Here is a 19,082-nt window from a genome sequence, read left to right as displayed (position 1 = left end):
ACAAGTGGTGCTGGAACAACTGGACACCCATATGCCAAAAAAAAAAAAAAAACTAGGCTTTTTATCTTTCACAAAAATTAACTTAAAATAGAACATACCCCCAAATGTAAAAGGCAAAACTATAAAAACTCTTAGAAGATAACATAGAAAATCTAGATGACCTTGGGTTTGGTAATGACTGTGTAGCTAGAACACCAAAAGCATGATGCGTAAAAGAAAAAAAAATTGGTAAGTTGGGCATCACTAAAATTTGAAAAGTCTACAAAAGACACTGTTAAGAGAATGAGAAGACAAGTCACAGAATGGGAGGAAATATTTGCAAATTCCATATCTGATTAAGGATTGTATTTGAAATATGCAGGCCAGCATAGTGGCTCACACCTGTTGAGGCTGCTGTGAGCTGTGATCTCACCACTGCACTCCAGCCTGGGCGACAGAGAAGACCTTGTCTCTAATTTTTTTTTAGAGTGTGTGTGTGTGTGTGTGTGTGTGTGTGTGTGTGCGTGTACAGATATATGTACATATGTGTATATGTATGTGTATATATATATACATATTTCTTAAAACTCCACGATGAGAAAATAAACAACTGAATCAAAGAGCAAACGATCAGAAAAAAACTCATCAAAGAGATATACAGATGGCAAGTAAGCATATGAAAAGATGCTGAACATCATATATCATTAGGGAATTGCAAGTTAAAGTAACAATGAGATACTACTACATACATTAGAATGGCTAAAATCCAGAAAACTGACAATCCCAGATGCTGACAGGATGCAGAACAACAGCAACTCTCATTTGTTGCTAATGGGAATGCACAATTGTACAGCTACTTCAGAAGACAGTTCGGCAATTTCCTACAAAGCCAAACAGAGTCTTACCATACAGTCAGCCGTTGTGCCCCTAGGTATTTACCTAACTAAGCTGAAAACTTACGTGCTCCAAAAACCTGCACACAGAGGTTTATGGCACCTTTACTCGTAATCACCAAACACTGGAAGCAACCAAAGTATCCTTCACTGGGCGAATGGATAAACAAACTGTGGCTCACCCGCATAATGGAATATTACTCAGCACTACAAAGAAATGGGTTATCAAGCCCCCAAAACACACAAAGGAACCTTAAATGCCTATTGCTAAGTGAAAGAAGCCAGTCTGAAAAGGCCATATACTGTATGATTCCAACCATATGACATTCTGGAAAAGGGGAAACAGATAAGACAACAATAAGATCAGTGGTTGCCAGGGGTTCAAGGAGGAAGAAGGGATGAATGGGTGGAACACAGTGGGTTTTTACAGTGGTGAAACTATTCTGTGTAATACTATGATGGTGGATACACGTTATTATACATATAAGTGTGTGTGTGTATATATATTTGTCAAAATTCACAAAATGTACAACACAAAGAGGAAACCCTCATGTAACTATGGACTTTAATTAATAATAATATATGAATACTGGCTCCTTAGTTGTTACAAATGTACCACACTAACTTAAGATGTTAATAACACTGGAAGCTGGGGAGAGAAACATGTAACTCTGCACTATCGGCTCAGTTGTTCTGCAAATCTAAAGCTCTTCTTAAAAAAAAGCCTATTATTTATTTTTTTTTAAAAAAGAAACACTGTGCCAAATGCTGTGGCTCACACCTGTAATCCTAGCATTTTGGAAGGCTGAGGCAGGAGAATCACTTGAGCCCAGGAGTTCAAGACCGGCTTGGACAACACAGTGAGATCCCATCTCTACAAAAAACAAAAATAAAAAAATTAGCTGGGTATGGTGATCTGAGCTTGTAGTCCCAGCTACTTACTTGGGAGGCTGAGGCAGGAGGAACAGTTGAGCCTAGGAGTTCAAGGCTGCAGTGAGCTATAACCGTGCCACTGCACTCCAGCCTAGGTGACAGAGCAAGACTCTGTCTCTTAAAAAAGAAAGAAAGAAAGAAAGAAAGAAAACAAAAGAAAAAGAAAAAAGACAGGAGGAAGAGATATTGAACTTCTCATGACTTACTGCCTGGTTTTCACTGACTTTAGTGTCTAATTTTCCCCAGGCCCATCTAATTTTCAAAGACTCTTGACACATGGGCCAATACTTGCTTCCATGACTGGCCTAGTCAGAAATCCCTGATCTTCCAAGGATTGACCCAAATTCCTGGGATCCACTTGCCTCACTGTTAGATTACAATCTTCATGCCTGCCCCTTTCCTACTCCATTTTTTTTTTTTTAGACGGAGTCTTGCTCTGTGGCCCAGGCTGGAGTGCAATGGCACAATCTCAGCTCACTGCAAACTCCACCTCCCGGTTCAAGCGATTCTCCTGCCTCAGCCTCCCGAGTAGCTGGGATTACAGGCGCCCACAACCATGCCCAGCTAATTTTTGCATTTTTAGTAGAGACGGGGTTTCACCATATTGGCCAGGCTGGTCTCTAACTCTTGACCTCAGGTGGTCCACCCTTCTCGGCCTCCCAAAGTGTTAGGATTACAGGCGTGAGCCACTACTCCTGGCCTTCTACTCCATTTTTTTTAACCAAAGTTTAAGTAGATCTTATCATCTGTTTAGAGAGGAGAGAGGCCGAATGATATCCCTAACTTTTCATGTGATATGACTGTTATATGACTCAAAAGAAAGACCAGACAGTGCAAATAGGTCCCTAGGTACAAAGTCAAAGTAAAGTCCAAGTTTGCTTTAAATGACAATGGTATTCACTAGCTGCTATACATAAAGAACCACTCATGATAAAGCAAATTATTCATATCTGTTTCCTGAACTGATCTAGTGTGGGAAGCTCATGGTAGTGTTGTTTGGCAACCTCCAGATATATGTGTAGGCTGCACAAAAGTCCATTCTTGCTCTCCCAAGATATTGAAATTGAAGGCATGCTGGAAGTGATGATCTTTCCTTGATGTTTATAGATGTGACTTTTCTCTGAATAAGCACCCACCACGAGCTTCCCATATGAGATGAGGAAGGGGGGATGGACTTTTCAACTTCACTTACAAACATCTGATCTTTCTTTGCTTTTGAATTTTGCTTCTAATTTTCCTTAGAGAGACTAGAACCAAAACTATGAAGGAAGCCACTTGTATAGGTGGCATTATGTGAGGTCCTACTTAGAGAGGTATACAAAAAGGAGTGAAGATAAAAAGGCCTATCACCTGTCATGGAGCTGAGATAAGGTGGATGAAAACCCCTTTTGTATCCCTTGACCTAGGTAGCCACCCAATACTTCTTTTCGTTTTTTGTTTTGTTTTGTTTGTTTTCCCTGATGTTATGGGCCAGGCTGAATAGTGTCCTCACAAAAATTTGTATGTTGAAGTCCTGATCCCCAGTACCTTAGAATGTGACTGTATTTGGAGATAGGGCCTTTAAGAAGGTAATTAAGGTAAAATGAGGTCATTTGGGTAGGCTCTAATCCAATCTGACTGGAGTCCTTTTAAGAAAAGGAGATTAGGACACAGACACGCACAGGGAGAAATCAGTCATCTATAAGCCAAGGATAGAGGCCTGAGAATAACCCAACCCTGCTAACACCTTGACCTTGGACTTTATCCTCCAGGACTGTGAGAAAATAAATGGGTGGTGTTTAAGCAACCCACTCTATTACAGCAGACTCAGCAGACTAATGCATGTGAGCTATTGCTATTTTTCTTTTTTCATTTCAAATTTTGCATTTAGTTATCATTTGAATCCTGAAAGTACTTTGCATTTGGCATGGAGGTGTTCATGTACAGTATCATATTTGATTCTTCCAGGTCCTCCCTGAAGGCCCAATATTCAGAGGATAAAATTGAACTCAAAAGGTTAAAGAATTGAGAGAAGGGCCGAGCGCAGTGGCTCACGGCTGTAATCCCAGCACTTCGGGAGGCCAAGGCGGGCGGATCACTTGAGCCCAGGAGTTCCAGACCCGCCTGGGCAATGTGGCAAAACCCCGTCTCTACAAAAATACAAATAGCCGGATGTGGTGGCGCATGCCTGTAGTCCCAGCTACTCAGGAGGTTGAGGTGAAAGTATCACTTAAGCCTGGGAGGCGGAGTTTGCAGTGAGCTGAGATCATACCACTGCACTCCAGCCTGGATGACAGAGCGAGAACCTGTCTCAAAATAAATAAATAAAATAAATAAACTGGAAGTAGAAAATTTAAAAAAAAAAGAATTGAGGGAAAGAATCATAATATGTCTATGCTTCAGACCTCCTTCAGCAATTTAGTGAATATTGTTTCTAAATGCGTAAAATAATGCATTGATACATCAAATAATGCATAAGATTACAAAGAAACCCAATTGTGTTAAAACATAGTCATCCAATATTTTTTAAAATTCTGATATAGTAATATATGTGCTGCTTTTTCAATACATTCAATTCAGACTGTAGAGGTGATTCTAATAAGTTCCATCATTTCAAAGTAGTCATGAGACCAAACAAAACAAAAATCTGCTTCCACAGCAACCTGCTTGGAACACACATCAGATTTCTTTCTTTTCTTTTCTCTTCTTTTTTTTTGAGACACGGTCTCACTCTGTCACCCAAACTGGAGTACAGTGGCACAATCACAGCTCACTGCAGACTCCAACCCCCAACCAGGCTCAAGCCATCCTCTTGCCTCAGCCTCCCGAGTAGCTGAGACTACAAGCATGCGCTACCATGCCCGGTTAATTATTTATTTATTTATTTATTTATTTATTTATTTATTTATTCATTTTTGAGATGGAGTCTCGCTGTGTCGCCCAGACTGGAGTGCAGTGGCGTGATCTCGACTCACTGCAACCTCCGCCTCCTGGGTTCAAGTGATTCTCCCGCCTCAACCTCCCAAGTAGCTGGGATTGCAGCCACGTGCCACCACGCCTGGCTAATTTTTGTATTTTTAGTAGAGACAGGGTTTCACCCTGTTGCCCAGGCTGGTCTGGAACTCCTGACCCCAGGTGATCTGCCCGCCTCGGCCTCCCACAGTGCTGGGATTATATAGGTGTGAGCCACTGCGCCAGGCCTAATTTTTTATTTTTTATAGAGATGAGGTTGTCATCTCTAAATGCAGTCATCAAGATAAATAATATTATAATGCCGTATTTTAAAACTCAAAAGTGATGCAAAAACTCCATTGTGAACAAAATACCAAAATGTTAGATAAAGCTCATTCTGTTTGGTGATGATGATGGATTCTAAAGAGCAGAAATGGTCAGTGCCTGGGGCCCAGCCCCCCATTTAGAAAAGGTAAAGGTCATTGGAAAGATTGGCCAAATCAAATGTACCCTAGGAGATGCAGAAGCCGGCCAGCAAAGGAAGAGCTGAGTGGGTAGGAAAAGTACTAGATCAAAGGGAGCAGCAGATTTTGTTTTCGATCTGGCAAAGCTTTTATAGTTTCGAAACATTTTCAAACATTCTGTCACTGATTGTCATAGTAACGTATGAAGTGGTTGGGGAAATATTGTCATGATCATATTCATTTTACAAGGGAGAAAAGTTGACTCTCAGAGAGGTTAGTGGCTGGGTTAGTTTCCTGTCACTGCTGTAACAAATTGCCACACACTTAGTGGTTTAAAACAGCACACATGTATTATCTGATGGTTCTGGAGGTCAAAAATCCCAAATGGGTGTCACTGGGGGTGATGGTTAATTCTGCATGTCAACTTGACTAGGCCTCAGGATGTCCACATAACTGATTAAACATTATTTCTGGATGTGTCTTTCAGGGTGTTTCCAGATGAGATTTAGCATTTGAATCGCTGAACTGGGTAAAGCAGATCACCCTCCTCAGTGCGGGTGAGCACCCTCTGAGCCACTGAGGGCCTGAACAGAACACAAAGGCAGAGCATGGCTGGATTTGCCCTCCCTTTGCCTGACTGTTGAGCTGAGACATTGATGTGCCCTCTATACTTCGGGTGCTCAGGCCTTCAGACCCAAATTGGAGTCTACACCATTGGCCCTCTAGCTCTCAGGCTTTTAAACTATACCGCTAGCCTTGCAGCTTGCAGATAGCAGATCACAGACTTCTCAGCCTCCATAATCTCATGAGCCAATACCTTAATAATAAATCTCTCTCTCTCTCTCTGTCTCTCTCTGTCTCTCTCTCTCTCTCTCTCTCTCTCTCTATATATATATATATATATATATATATATATATGTATGTATATAATATTGGTTCTGTTTCTCCGGAGAGCCCTGACTAACACATTAGATAATATCAAGGTGTCAGCAAAACTGTGTTCCACGGCTGGGCATGGTGGTTCACGCCTGCAATCCCAGCACTTTGGGAGGCTAAGGCAGGAAGGTCGCTTGAGCCCAGGAGCTTGAGACCACCCTGGTCAACATAAGAAGACCCCATCTTTAAAAAAATGAAAACAATTAGCCAGGCATGGTGGCATGTGCCTGTACTCCCAGGTACGTGGGAGGCTGAGGTGGGAGGATTGCTGGAGTCCAGGAGGTCGAGGGTGCAGTGAGCTGTGATCGTGTCATTGCACTCTAGCATGGGGGACAGAATGAGACTCTATCTCAAAAAAAAAAAAAAAAGTAGAAAGAGAAGGAGAAAGGAGGAGGAGGAGAGAAGAAAGAAAGAGAGAGAGGGAGGGAGGGAGAAGGAGGGGAAGGGGAAGAAGAAGGCGAAGAAGGAGAAGAAGGAGAAGGAGGAGAAGAAGGAGAAGGAGAGGAGGAGAAGGAGGAGGAAGAAGAAGGAGAAGGAGAAGGAGAGGAAGGGGAAGGGGAAGAGGAAGAAATTCTTTCTGTGGCTCTAGGGGAAAATCTGTTTCCTGACTTTGCCCAGTGTCTAGAGACTGCCGGCATTCCTTGGCACGGGACCTCCTTCCTCCATCTTCAAGCCAGCAACAGAAGGTCAAGTCCCTCTTAAATAGCATTATTTTGACCTCCTCTTCTTCTACCTTCCTCTATGTTTAAAGATCCTGTGTAACCCAGGATTTATAGCCTGTATAATCCAGAATAATCTCTCCATTGTAGAGCTCTTCATGTTAGTCACATCTGTAGTCCCTTTTGCAATGGAAGGTGATGTCTTCACAGGTTCCCAGGGATCCCAGCACGGACGATTTCAGGGGACCACATTCTGCCTTCCACAGTGGGCTTGTAGAATGTCTCCCACTAAAAGGGGGCAGAACACATACAAATCCAGCTCCTCTGATTCCAAAACCCACAGCCCACCTCACACCAACCTTGGTGTCTCTCAAGGGGTGAACGTGTTCAGAGCCCACTTTCACCAACATGGAAAGCAAACCAAAAATCAAATAAATACAAAATGCTGCCTGTGTTTACTCAAAGAGCACATGACAGGCAAGAGTTGCAATTTCCCTCAAATAACACGTGGCTGTTATAGCTACAAAATAAGAGAGATTATCCTTTTCAAGGGTTTCCTCCCCTTCCCGCCTTTCTTTTGGTAACCATATTTCCTTGAAAGAAGTTATGGGCCTGTAATCCCAGCACTTTGGGAGGCCGAGGCAGGCGGATCACTTGAGGTCAGGAGTTCGAGAACAGCCTGGCCAACATGGTGAAACCCCGTCTCTACTAAAAGTACAAAAATTAGCCGGTGTGGTGGTGGGCAGCTGTAATCCCAGCTACTCGGGAGGCTGAGACAGGATAATCGCTTGAAACTGGGAGGCGGAGGTTGCAGTAAGTGCAGTGAGCAGAGATTGTGCCACTACACTCTAGCCTGGGCGACAGAACGGACTCGGTCTCAAAAAAAAAAAAAAGAAGTTATGTACTTCTCCCCCACCCCACCATTTGTTTCCACTTCTGCATTTCTTTTTTTTTTTTTTTTTTTGAGACAGAGTCTCACTCTGTCCCCCAGGCTGGAGTGTAGTGGCACAATCTCGGCTCAATGCACTCACTGCAACCTCTGCCTCCCGGTTTCAAGCGATTCTCCTGTCTCAGCCTCCCGAGTTGCTGGGATTACGGGCGCACGCCACCACACCCGGCTAATTTTTGTATTTTTAGTAGAGATGGGGTTTCATCATGTTGGTCAGGCTGGTCTCGAACTCCTGACCTTGTGATCCCCACACCTCGGCCTCCCAAAGTGCTGGGATTACAGGCAGGAGCCACCACGCCCGACGACACTTCTGCATTTCATGCTTAACTTTTAACACTGGCTGTAGAGAATAAGCATGGGAGACAGGAGGATTTTATAGACAGTTTCTTCACAAAAATTCATCTCCCACACAGTGAAGCTCCACACCACATTAACAAAGAAAATCCCCGAGGCAGGTGGATCACCTGAGGCCAGGAGTTCGAGACCAGCCTGGCCAACATGGTGAAACCCTATCTCTACAAAAAATACAAAAATTAGCCGGGCATGGTGGCACGTGCCTGTAGTCCCAGCTACTCGGGAGGCTGAGGCAGGAGAATCGCTTGAACCCGGGAGGCAGAGGTTGCAGTGAGCTGAGATTGCGCCACCACATTCCAGCCTGGGTGACAGAGCGAGACTCCATCTCAAAAAAAAAAAGAAATTTCTTTAAGAAAAGCACAAGTGAAACTCAATGGGAGTGGAACGTGGCGTTTTTCTCCAGCGCCTTTGTCACAAGGCCTCTTTGATGTTATTACTTTTACAGAATCAGCAGGCACTTGATAAGATGGGACACACATCATGTGTAATATACCCTGACAGCCCCCTTCCTACATGTATACCCAAGAGAAGTGAAAGCTTAGCTTCCTGCAAAAACTTGTATGCAGAAACCTTTATTCATAGTTGCCAAAACCTGGAAACAATCCAGGTGTCCTTCAACTGGTGAAGGGATAAATAAACTGCAGTATGTCCATACAAAGGGACATGGATATGGATATGGATATATCCCCTTGTACGGATATACACTTTTCAGTGTTGACTCCATGAACACTGAAAAGGAGGAAGCTATTGATCTGTGCAACAGCATGGATGAATCTCAAATGTAAATGGCTGAGTGAAGGAATTCAGATTCAAAGGTGACATATTCCATGGTTTTGTGTTTTGTTTCTGTTTTGTAGAGATGGGGTCTTGCTATCTTGCCCAAGCTGATCTTGAACTCCTGGGATCAAGCGATCCTTCCACCTCGGCTTCCCAAAGTGCTGGGATTACAGATGTGAGCCACCACACTCTGCCATATTCCATGGTTTCATATGGCATTCTGGAACAGGCAAAACTACTGGGACAGAAAGACCCTCCATTGTTGGGATTGAGAGTAGGTTGGGGAAAAGGTTGACTACAAAGGATCATGGGGGGATATTTTTGAGGGACTGAGCTGTTCTGTATCTTGATGGTAGTGCTGGTTGCAAAACTGTCAATGTTGGTCAAAACTCATAGAACTGTATAGTCGTCTCTCAGTATCCACAGGGGATTGGTTGCAGAACTCTCTGCAGATACGAAAATCCACGGATGCTCATGTCCCTGATATAAAATGGCACAGTATTTGCATATAACCTATGCACATCTTCCTGTATAATTTATTTTTATTTTATTTAGTTAATTAATGTATTCTTTTTTTCTTTTCTTTCTTTTTTTTTTTTTGAGACGGAGTCTTGCTCTGTTGTCACCCAGGCTGGAGTGCAGTGGCACGATCTTGGCTCACTGCAGCCTCTGCCTCCCGGGTTCCAGCGATTCTCCTTCCTCAGCCTCCTGGGTAGCTGGGATTACAGGTGCACGCCACCACGCCCAGCTAAGTTTTGTATTTTTAGTAGAGACGGGGTTTCCCCATGTTGGCCAGGCTGGTCTTGAACTCCTGACCTCAGGGGATCTGCCCGCCTAGGCCTACCAAAGTGCTGGGATTACAGGCGTGAGCCACCGTGCCCGGCCATATTGACATATTATATTTATAGACAGGGTCTTGTTCCATCGCCCAGGCTGAAGTACAATGTTGCAATCATAGGTCACTGTAGCCTTGAACTCCTGGCTCAAGTCATCCTCCCACCTCAGCCTCCTGAGTAGCTGGGACTACAGGTATGTGCCACCACACCCAAGCTAATTTTTGTATTTTCTGCAGAAACAGGGTCTTGCTATGTTGCCTAGGCTGGTCTCAAACTCTTGGCCTCAAGTGATCCACCTGCCTTGGCCTCCCCTAAAGTGCTGGGATGACAGCATGAGCCACCTCATTCAGCCTCCTGTATAATTTAGATCATCTCTAGATTAGTTATAATACCTAATACAGTGTAAGTGTTGTGCAAATAGTTGTTATAGTGTATTGTTTAGGGAATAATGATAAGAATAAAAGTCTGTACATTCTCAGTGCAGACGCAACCATCCATTTTTTTTCAAGTATTTTTGATTTGAAGTTGGCTGAATTCACGCATGTGGAAGCCATGGATACAGAGGGCCAACTGTACACTAAAAGCTTGAATTTTAGCAAATTTGAGAAAGGCACAGTAAAGCTACATGGAATTAGAGCCCAGCCTTTCCCCCAGTACCTGTGTAAGGAGGCCTTTAAGGTTTGTTGTTATTTTCACTAGAGCACAGCCATTTGATAAGACCAGATACAGGTCTTATAGAAATTTTGAAATGTCCCTGAGGGAAGGGAGGGAAGGGAAAGGACATTTTAGTATACTTCTGAGATATTAGTGAGAATTGATCACGTTTTTAGAGATAACTATTTATTTATTTGTGTATTTATTTATTTATTTGAGATGGAGTCTGCTCTGTCGCCCAGGCTGGAGTACAGTGACGCAATCTCAGCTCACTGCAACCTCCATCTCCCAGGTTCAAGCAATTCTTGTGTTTCAGCTTCCCAAGTAGCTGGGATTACAGGCGTGCGCCACCATGCCTGGCTAATTTTTGTATTTTCAGTACAGATGGAGTTTCACCGTGTTGGCCAGGTTGGTCTCGAACTCTCGACCTCAAGTGATCCACCCACCTCAGCCTCGCAATGTGCTGAGATGACAAGCATGAGCCACCACGCCCGGCCAGAGATAACTATTTAAAATAAAACTCCCCCCACTCACAAAAGGTTGCAGCAGCACACAGCTATCCAACTGCATGGATGTTGGGCGGATTGACATCAGCAGGTAGAGACGTTTCAAGGAATGGTTTCAGCAACGGTCAGGGCACCAGGCAAGGAATGTTTTCTGGAATGGGAGAAAAATAAGTATGCTTCTGGCCAGGCGCGGTGGCTCACGCCTGTAATCCCAGCACTTTGCGGGGCCAAGGCGGGCAGATCACTTGAGGTCGGGAGTTTGAGACCAGCCTGACCAACATGGAGAAACCCCGTCTCTACTAAAAATACAAAATTAGCCAGGCGTGGTGGTGCATGCCTGTAATCCCAGCTACTTGGGAGGCTGAGGCAGGAGAGAGAATAACTTGAATCCAGGAGGCGGAGGTTGCGGTGAGCCAAGATCGTGCCATTGCACTCCAGCCTGGGCAACAAGAGCGAAACGCCGTCTCAAAAAAAAAAAAAAAAAAAAAAAAAAAAAAAGAAGTATGCTTCTAAAAGAGTAGTTTTCCTTTGCACAGGTCCCTTTAGATGACTAAAATAAACTTTTTCAGTTGACTACATAATTTCAAAGTGGTTTGAATTTTTAATGTTAAAGTTCTTCCCAGAAGTTTAAAATGGAAAGGTTTCACGTATGAGCTAAGAATATGAAATGGTGGCTGCCTCTCTCCTGGTTTTCTGTATTTTTGTATAAAGGGGACAAAGATAGACATTACAATAACTGCATTAAATATGTGATTCTATTTTTAAGATAGATTAATGTTTGTTGAAACATTAGGTATGCAATGAAATGCTGTAAATAAAAACCTAAGAATGTCCAAACATCCACAACCCCAGTCCAATCATGAGAAGGCATCATACAAACCTAAACTGAAGGAGATTCCACAAAATACCCAATCAGCACTGCTCCAAACTATCGAGGGCATCAAAGACAAGGAAGCATGGTGAGCCAGTCACAGCCCAGAGGAGCCCAAGGTGATACGATGACTTAATGCAATGTATAATCCTGGATGGGGCCCTAGGACAGAAAAAGGACATACATGGAAAAACTGGGCATTGAGTTATTAGTTATGTACCAAGATCAGTTTCATAGTTGTAACAAAAGTACTATGGAGGCATAAGGCTTTAACAATGGAGAAACTGAATTATACACAGGAACTCTCAATCTTATCTTTCTGTAACTGAAACTATTCTAACATTTTACAAGTTTGCTTAAAAAATTAGAATGCTGCACTGCAGCTGATTTGAAAGATAATTATTTTGAAACATACAAAATTTCTATACTACACACATGTACAATTGCATTTTTTTTGAGAAAAGGTGTCACTATGCAAATTAAAAACCAACAAGTGGTAGAAGCTGGGTGTGGTGGCTCATGCCTATAATCCAAGCACTTCGGGAGGCTGACGTGGGAGGATCTATTGAGTCCCGAAGTTCAAGACCATCCTGGGCAACATAGTGAGACTCCATCTCTACAAAAACAATTTTAAAATAATTATCAGGGTGTGGTGGTGCGCCTGTGGTTCCCAGCTACTTGGGAAGCTGAGGTGGGATCATTTGAGACCAGGAGGTCAAGGCTGCAGTGAGCCATGATTGCACCACTGCACTCCAGCTTGGTAACAGACAAGACCCTGTCTCATAAAAACAACAACAAAAATACAGTGGTAGAAGACTCCATCTCCTCCCATTTTCCCTGCTCTTCTTTCTTCCCTGCACACCCACTCCTCAACATGCTTGTGCTGTTCCCTGAATGTTTGCAGCTTCTTGTCACCTGCACCCAGTGCTGCTTCTGTGAGGACGTCTCCTCCAGGAGGGACCCCAGGCTTCTCCGAGCATTTCGGTCTCTGCTCTGATGGGTGCCCTCTCCCTCCCTCTTCACCAGTCTTTCTTTCATGGGCTAACATGTTCATGTTCATTTGCTCATTAGTTTTTTGTTTTTGTTTCTTGAGACAGGGTCTGGCTCTGTCTCCTGGGCTGGAGTGCAGTGGTTTGACCATGGCTCACTGCAACCCTGGCCTCCCAGGCTCAAGCCATCTTCCCATCTCAGCCTCCTGAGTAGCTAGGTTTACTAACGAGCACCAACATGGCCAGCTAATTTTTGTATTTTTTGGTAAAGATGGGGTTTGCCATGTTGCCCAGGCTTGTTTCGAACTTCAGGCCTCAAGTGATCTTCCTGCCTCAGCCTCCCAAAGTGCTGGGATTACAGCCATGAGCCACTGCGCCTGGCTTGCTCATTAGTTTTAATTGTCTGTTCCCCCAGCCAGAATATGAGCTCAGTGGACATGAAGAGGGTTGAGATGGAGGGAAGGGAAGGGAAAGGAAGGGGAGGGGATGGAAGGGGAGGAGATGGAAGGGAAGGGGAAAGGAGGGAAAGGAAGGGAAAGGAGAAGAGAAGGGAATGGAGAGGTGGTGGTCTTTTGATGTGTCCGCTTGCCTAGGCCACAATCCTCAGTTATTCCATCAAATACCATTTTCATTCTCTAGGGCCGCTCAAACAGGGAACCACAAACTAGATGGCTTAAGACAACATAAATTTATTCTGTCAGATTTCTGAAGGCCAGAAGTCTGAAGTCAAGATGTTGGCAGGGCCATGTTCCCTCTGAAGGCTCTAGGGGAGGATGCTTCCCTGTCTCTTCCAGCTCCCGATGACAGCTGGCAGTCCTTGGTGTTCCTTGCTTAGTAGCTGCATCACTCCAATATCTGCCACCATCTTCACATGGCCTTCTCCCTCCCTGTATGTGTGTGTGTGTCCAGATCTCCCTCTTCTTTCTCTTATAAAGACACAGGTTATCCAGTTAATGGATTTACCGCCTCCCTTAATTCAGTATAGCCTTCATTCAACTTGATCACATCAGCAAAGACCTTATTTCCGAATAAAGCCCCGTTCACAGGTACCAGGGGTTAGAACTTGAACTTATCTTTTTAAGGATACACAATCCAACCCACTACAAACACTAATCTAGGTGTTGCTTCCAGGCTGTTTTGAGATGTAAATAAGGTCCATAATCAGTTGACTTTAAGCCGGGGGAGAGATTATCTTGGATAATCAGGTGAAAGGCCTCTATAGCAGGACTGAGGCTTCCCTAAGGAAGAAGAAATTCCTCCTGTGAACAGCCAGTGCCCAAGAGAGTTCCAGTCTGCCTTCTTAACTGTCTTCCCTACAAATTTCAGGCCTGCCTGCCCAGCCCCACCCAATGACATAAGCCAATTCCTTGCAATAAATCTAGCATGTATCTTCTACTGGTTCCAGTTGTCTGGTTGAATCCTGACTGGTCTATCAGGATTGGAGAACTGCCTTGGGTTTCTTAGATACACACAAGTGATACAATTGGTTCTAGCATGACGAAGGGCCATTTGTGTTCTATGAAGACCATTTGTCAGCAAGGCACTGGGGTTCCTGTTCCAGGGCACCTAAGCAGGAGTTCTTGGCCCACAAAAGTGAAAGTTGAATTTTACTGTGTAAGCTCCAAGGATTTAATTTTGAACTGAGTTTTCAGGAATTATTTTTCTACTTAAGCATACTCAATAAAGCACTTATAGACTTGTAAGGGATCCAAGTGTAAATGTTTTACACTGGACCAGACCGTGAACGTTGGAATCCAGACACCTGGCTTTGCCACTTAGTAGCTGTGTAGCTGGAGCAAATTATGCAGCTTTGTCCTTCTGAATTCCAAGATTTTCTGTTTGTAAATAAGGAAGGGATACTAATAATAATAGTAATAATAGTACCTTCCCACTTTCGTGAGAAAATTGCATTAGATATTATATGTAAAACTAATTTAGCTAAAAAAAAAATACAAGGTAAATTTACACAAATCCTTATTAAATTATGTATTTGTGAAAGAGACTGCACATAAGGAGAAGGTAAGGGTTTTTTTTTCCTCCTTTGGGAGATCCTTCTGCTACAACCTCAGAAATCATTCAGGTTTAAATACTTTCTATTTTTTTTAACTGTAAGTTCACTTGGTGTAAGAAAAAAACAACTTTGCCAGAACCTATGGGCAAATTTCAGAAGCTATATAAATATGACAGAAATGTAGTTACAAGCATAAAGTTTTTTTAGACAGAATTTCACTCTTGTTGCCCAGGCTAGAATGCAATGGCACGATCTCAGCTCACTGCAACCTCTGCCTCTTGGGTTTAAGCGATTCTTCTGCTTCAGCCTCCCGAGTAGCTGGGATTACAGGTGCCGCCACAACTCCCGGCTAATTTTTGTATTTTTAGTAGAGACGGGGTTTCCCCATGTTGTCCAGGCTGGTCTCGAACTCCTGACCTCAGGTGATCCACCCGCCTCGGCCTCCCAAAGTGCTGGGATTACAGGTATGAGCCACAGTGCCCAGCCCAAAGTTGTATATTTTATTTGCCATGTAAAATACTTTAGAGCGGAAATACCATTGGATAAGTTAATCAAAAAGTAGGTAAAAATTTTTGTTAGGGTTCATTTATATGAAAGTCATTGAAAACAGAGACTTGTATAAAATGAATGATCCAACTCTCTTTTCAAATTGCATTAGTTATAATTTCTAATGGATCTGGAAGTTTTTAGATACTACTTCATTTAATACAATTCTGACTTCCTAAGTCATGATTCAAAGCTATTCTTAAAATAGCAACTCACTGGCTCCTCTAGCAAAAATAAACAAGCTGAAAACAAAAACCCTTTTAGTAATACAAATTTAATTCTGATCAAACAAACATTCACTGAGTACATTTTATGGATTTGTGGGGGAAAAAATTAAAAAAAAAGACACAGCCTTATCTTCTAGAAACTTATCATCTCTTAGGAGACAAGCTCTTTTTTAAAAATTTTTTATTCTTTTTTCATTTTCCTTTTATTTTACGGTGCTCTACACATCCAGAGAAACTTCTCTAGTAACAAACTATAGAAATGATCCCTGAGTCTTAGGAGAAACTCTTAACTCTCATAAAAGTTCTGAGTGATAAATAGTAGAAATGAGTGTGTGTGTTTGGGGTGAAGGTTAATCGTCTCACGAGGATTTACATATCTATTTTTCTAAGTTTGGACTTTGCCTAATGGGTGTTCTAAAAGTTTGCTATTCTGTATTCCTTTCTTTTTGAAATTGCCCTATTTATAATTTTATTCAATGAAATGCAGAAATATTAAAATGAAAGGAGAAAACCATCTAATTTTCAAAGGCACATCTAGTGTGACTTCATGATAGTCCACCATAAATTACCGAGGATAATTGAAGAAATTGTGTTCACCAACATGTTGAGGCCTGCAAATTCCACAATCTCCACTGCAGTGCGGGTCTGGAAAACTCAAAACAGCACACGCCTGTTCCCTGGCAGGAACTCTTTCTATCGCTTCCTTTCCTTTCACCTGCTTTCATCTGCTGGCTGGGTTTCTGGGAGATTATGGTGGGGAATGTCTGACATGTGCTCACGGTCTACCAGCACTTACTCAGTCCCTGGCCTTCTCCAAGAACCAAAGCAGGTATGAGACCCTTACTGGCCATTGGGTTGGAGAGAGTAGACAGGGAGGACCAAGGACACCAGCGCTCACATCTTTGTTCCCACTGCCACGGCCATTGAGGACGCCGAGAGGCTGTGGCCTTGCTGAGAAGCCATGCAGCTCTGCACACAGGGTGCGTCACTAGAAGCAGGTCACCATTTCCACTGGTGAGAACGATTCGGCTGAAGCTAATGCATCATTTAGCCTGTTTAGAGAAACAGGCAGCATCTTAGGGTGTGTTTTTTTTGCTTTTTCTTTTTTTGAGACAGAGTCTCGCTCTGTCGCCCAGGCTGGAGTGCATTGGCGCGATCTAGGCTCACTGCAACCTCTGCCTCGCGGGTTCAAGTGATTCTCCTGCCTCAGCCTCCCGAGTAGCTGGGACTACAGGCATGTGCCACCACGCCCGGCTAATTTTTTGTATTTTTAGTAGAGACGGGGTTTCCCCATGTTAGCCAGGATGTTGTCAATCTCCTGATCTCGTGATCTGCCCGCCTCGGCCTCCCAAAGTGCTGGGATTACAGGCGTGAGCCACTGCACCCGGCCGTTAGGGTGTGTTTTGAGGCACACACTTTAGTCCCTGGGAACCCCAAAGAGCTAAGTGTTCCATAAACAAATGTGACAGGGGTCCCACGTCATGCCTAGTAGCAGGTTATGATTCTTCTGTGTGTCCTGTTGCTGTCTCCTTTTCCTCTGTGGAAGGAGTGCGACTCCACCCTAGGGGCTTGGGGCTGTATCTGTGGACTCCTAGTGATGATCTGGCCCAGATCTCACCCTTCACCCAAGGAAACTCTGTCCCTGTTACTGAATTTCCAACTTTTGTCAGATAGACAACCTTCTCCAAGTTACCCAAACCTTAGCCTTGAAACCTTCTGTAACTATTCTCCTCCCCACCAATCCCAACAAGTCCCCACAAGCTTCCCATCCAGCTCCTCCTGCCTTTGCCAGCCGTTATCACCTGCCCTTTCCTTCTAGCTCCACTGCCCCTGCTCAGGACCTCTTTCCCCATAACTGGATTATTCTGACAGTCTCTGAATCGCCTCTGACTTTAGCCAGCTTTAACCGTGGTGTCTTTGTTCTCTCGGGTTGCTCCTGTAACTGTAACAATCTCCTGCCCCTCCCCACCTACTTCACTTCCTGCCTGCTTTTCCAGCGGCACTCAGCTATTCCTGTCTTTTCTGAGTATCAGGGAGCGCTTGGGGCCTCTACCAACCATGGGGAACTTAGCACATCCTGCCTCGTATCCCAGCTGAGGCTTTCACTTTACACCTCCTTCTGCCTGGCTGAGTTGGAAGGTCCATGATGTCCCCGCATCATTCGTGATGCCCAAGGTATACCTGGGTGGGGAAAAATGTCCTTTCTTTGATTGGTTGAGTAGTTATTCCAAGAGTATGATACACTAAGTGAGGATACAAACGAGGGAGGAGCTCTGCTTCAGAGCTGGAGCCGAGGGTTTTGAAGAGTGGGGAGGGGCCGGGCTCCATGGCTCGCCCTGCAATCCCAGCACTTTGGGAGGCCGAAGTGGGCAGATCACTTGAACCCAGGAGTTCCAGACCAGCCTGGCTGACATAGTGAAACCCTGTCTCTACAAAAACTACAAAAATTAGCCGGGCATGGTGGCATACCCTGTCGTCCCAGCTACTAGGGAGGCTGAGGTGGGAGGATCGCTTGAACTCGGAGATTGAAACTGCAGTGAGCCATATTCTCCCCAATGCACTCTAGCCTGGGCGACAGATCAAGACCCTGTCTTAAATAAATAAATAAATAAATAAATAAATAAATGAAGGAAGAGTGGGGAGGGGCAAGGAAGAGAGACACGACGGGAAACTTCTTTGAGAAGGGGGCATGACTGGAAACTGTTTTATTTATTTATTTATTTATTTTTTGAGACGGAGTCTCGCTCTGTCGCCCAGGCTGCTCTGTCGTGCAGTGGCGCGATCTCGGCTCACTGCAAGCTCCGCCTCCCGGGTTCACGCCATTCTCCTGCCTCAGCTTCCCAAGAAGCTGGGATTACAAGCGTGCACCAACACGCCCAGCTAATTTTATTTATTTATTTATTTATTATTATTATTTTTTTTAGTAGAGACGGGGTTTCACCGTGTTAGCCAGGATGGTCTCCATCTCCTGACCTCGTGATCCGCCCCCCTCAGCCTCCCAAAGTGTTGGGATTAAGGCGTGAGCCACTGCACCCGGCCGACTGGAAACTGTTTTGGGACGCGGCCATGGCGGGAAACTCCCTCGGGAGAGGGGCATAATGGAAAACTGCTTTAAGAGAGCGGCCATGACAGGACCTTGGGAGAGGGGCATGATGGGAACCAAACTACGGAGAGACAGAATGCCCAGAGTTAGTCCCCCTCCCTCCGCCCCGCGCCGCGTGGGACCCGTTGAAGGAACCACCTGGGTTCCGTTAGGGCTGGCTGGGAAAAAAGATATGATGGAAAGACGTGGGGAGACGTCTCAGTGGTCTACTGTGGTTGCTCCTGGGCTGGAGAAGATCAGGTACAAGGCGGGGGTTGTGGGCGGGGGCTGAAGGAAAGTGGGATGTTATTTTCCCGTTTGCTTCCCTTTCAAGTGAACCAACGTTGACATCGCTGCATGTTCGTTTCCAAACAAATCTTTCTAAACAAAATGGTCTGTGTCTCGTCTTTTAAAAAGGCCACGTGTATTCTCGCGGCCAAGTCTTTGTTCAAATCTTCCCTTTGTCCATGAAGGCCATCACCCTG

At 44.3% G+C, this 19,082-nt stretch overlaps 1 long non-coding RNA gene across 1 annotated transcript in view, besides 2 other annotated features; it reads left to right on the top strand.

Moving 5' to 3' along the window:
• Positions 2,522–2,816: a silencer, noted in NCBI's record as "tiled region #2097; HepG2 Repressive DNase matched - State 3:PromF". NCBI's record gives its function as "represses a minimal TATA promoter and a strong SV40 promoter by Sharpr-MPRA in HepG2 cells {active_cell/tissue: HepG2}" and the evidence as "EXISTENCE:reporter gene assay evidence [ECO:0000049][PMID:27701403]".
• Positions 9,949–10,107: a silencer, noted in NCBI's record as "fragment chrX:9420158-9420316 (GRCh37/hg19 assembly coordinates)". NCBI's record gives its function as "represses an EF-1alpha promoter that drives an FKBP-Casp9 reporter gene in an ReSE screen in phorbol 12-myristate 13-acetate-treated (for megakaryocytic differentiation) K562 erythroleukemia cells {active_cell/tissue: K562(+PMA)}" and the evidence as "EXISTENCE:reporter gene assay evidence [ECO:0000049][PMID:32094911]".
• Positions 18,701–19,082, top strand: part of LOC107985634 (uncharacterized) — a 35,569-nt gene continuing 35,187 nt past the window's right edge. Inside the window, exon 1 of the long non-coding RNA XR_001755795.1 lies at positions 18,701–18,858. This is a non-coding gene — a long non-coding RNA (uncharacterized LOC107985634). The remainder of the gene's footprint in view (positions 18,859–19,082) is intronic.

The sequence above is a fragment of the Homo sapiens genome, chromosome X (genome assembly GCF_000001405.40).
Source record: "Homo sapiens chromosome X, GRCh38.p14 Primary Assembly".
Lineage (NCBI taxonomy): Eukaryota > Metazoa > Chordata > Mammalia > Primates > Hominidae > Homo > Homo sapiens.
This window is presented reverse-complemented; position numbering and strand designations above follow the sequence as displayed.